The sequence below is a fragment of the Homo sapiens genome, chromosome 5 (assembly GCF_000001405.40).
Source record: "Homo sapiens chromosome 5, GRCh38.p14 Primary Assembly".
In the NCBI taxonomy this organism is placed as follows: Eukaryota; Metazoa; Chordata; class Mammalia; order Primates; family Hominidae; genus Homo; species Homo sapiens.
The window spans coordinates 51,316,580-51,318,698 of NC_000005.10; positions in this window are offsets into that span (position 1 = coordinate 51,316,580).

Below are 2,119 nucleotides of genomic sequence, written 5' to 3' on the forward strand. Positions count from 1 at the left end.
TGGAATTTTCCAACCATCTTCCTATTCTTGAATTGTAATTTAACTTTACTGTGGTCTGAGAGCAGATATTGTAGGTTTTCTATTCTTTTACATTTGTTAAACGTGTTTTATGACCCAGGAAATTGTCTGTCTTGGTAAGTGTTCTCTATGAGTTTGAGAAGAATGTGTATTCTACTGTTGTTTGATAATGCTGTCTACAGATGTCAATTATATCCAGCTGGTTGTTAGTACTTTTGAGTTCAACTATGCCCTTAATGATTCTTTTGCCTGCCAGATAGGGTGTTTGTTTGTTTGTTTGTTTGTTTGTTTGTTTGTTTTGAGACAGAGTCTTGCTCTGTTGCCCAAGCTGGAGTGCAGTGGCACAATCTCGGCTCACTGCAACCTCTGCCTCCCAGGTTCAAGCGATTCTCACGCCTCAGCCTCCCAAGTAGCTGGGACTACAGGCGTGTGCCACTACGCCCAGCTAATTATTTGTATTTTTTTTAGTAGAGTAGGGGTTTCACCGTGTTAGCCAGGATGGTCTGGATCTCCTGACCTCGTGATTCCCCCACCTCGGCCTCCCCCAGATAGGGGTCTTAAAGTCTTCATCTATAATAATGGATTAATCTATTTCTCCATGCAGTTCTCTCATTTTTTGTCTCACATATGTTGATGCTCTATGTTAGGCACCTACACGTTAAGAATTGTTTTGTCTTCTTGAAGTATTGACCCCTTTATCATTATATAATGCCCTTTTTATCCTTGATAACTTTCCATGAAGTCAGCTGTCTAAAGTTAATATAGCTATGACCACTTTATTAATGTTAACATAATATCTCTCTCTCCATCCTTTTACTTTTAATCTATATGTATCTTTATATTTAATGTGGATTTCTTATAGACAACATACAGTTGGGTCTTGTTTTTTTTTAATCTACTCTAACAATCTCTGTCATTTAAATGGCTTATTCAGGCCATTGATGTTTAAAGAGATTATTGATATAGTTGGACTAATATCTACCATATTTGTTACTGTTTTCCATTTGTTGCCCTTGTTCTTTTCTCCTATTTTTGTCATTTACACTTTTTCTAACTTTTGCTTTTTTTTTTTTTTTTTTTTCCCCAGAAAGGGCCTCACTCTGTCACCTCGGCTGGAGTACAGTGGCATGATCACAGCTCACTGCAGCCTTTAACTCCTGGGCTCAAGTGATCCTTCCACTTCAGCCTCCCAAGTAGCTGGGACTACAGGTATACACTACCACACCTGGCTATTTTTTAAAATTTTGTGTAAAGACAAGTTCTCAGTTGGTTTCCCAGGCTCTTTTGTTATTTTAATTGAGCATTTTATATGATTTTATTTTCTCTTCTTTCTTAGTGTATAAATTGTCCCCTTTTTAAAAATGTTTTTTAGTGATTTCCCTATCACATTTACAACTAATCCACGTCCAGTTTCAAATAACACTATACTACTTCATGGGTTGTTCAAGTAGCCTCTAATAATTAAATATTCTTCATTTATCACTCTTATCTCTTGTATTATTGCTGGTATTTATTTCACTTGAATGTATATGTTATATATTATATACATGTTTGCATGCATAATCAAATAGTGTTATATTTGAAGCAAACTGTTTTCTGCTAGATTAGTTAAGAAAAGAAAGATAAAAGTTTTCATTTACCTTCACTTATTCATTATTTGATGATCTTCCTTTCTTTACGTAGATACAAATTTCTGACATACCATTTTCCTTCTCTTTGAATAAGTCTGTTTAATATTTCTTCCAAGGCAGGTCTACAGGCAAAAAATTCCCTCAATCTTTGTCTGACATAATCCTTATTTCTCCTCCACTTTTAAAGAGTAATTTTTCAGAGTACCTAACTTTAGGTTGGTAGTTTTCTCTCTCACCACGTTAAATGTTTCAATCCACTCTCTTCTTACTTGCATGGTTTATGCATAGTCAGATATAATTCTTATCTTTGCTCCTCTGTAGTTAAGGTATTTTTCTCCCTGGCTTCTTTCAAGGTTTTTTTTTTTTAATTTATCTCTGATTTTCTAAAGCTTAAATATAGTAAGTCTAGGTAGTTGAGGTTTTTTGATCTTTGAGTTTTATTTTTTTGTTTGTTTGTTTGTCTGTTTGTT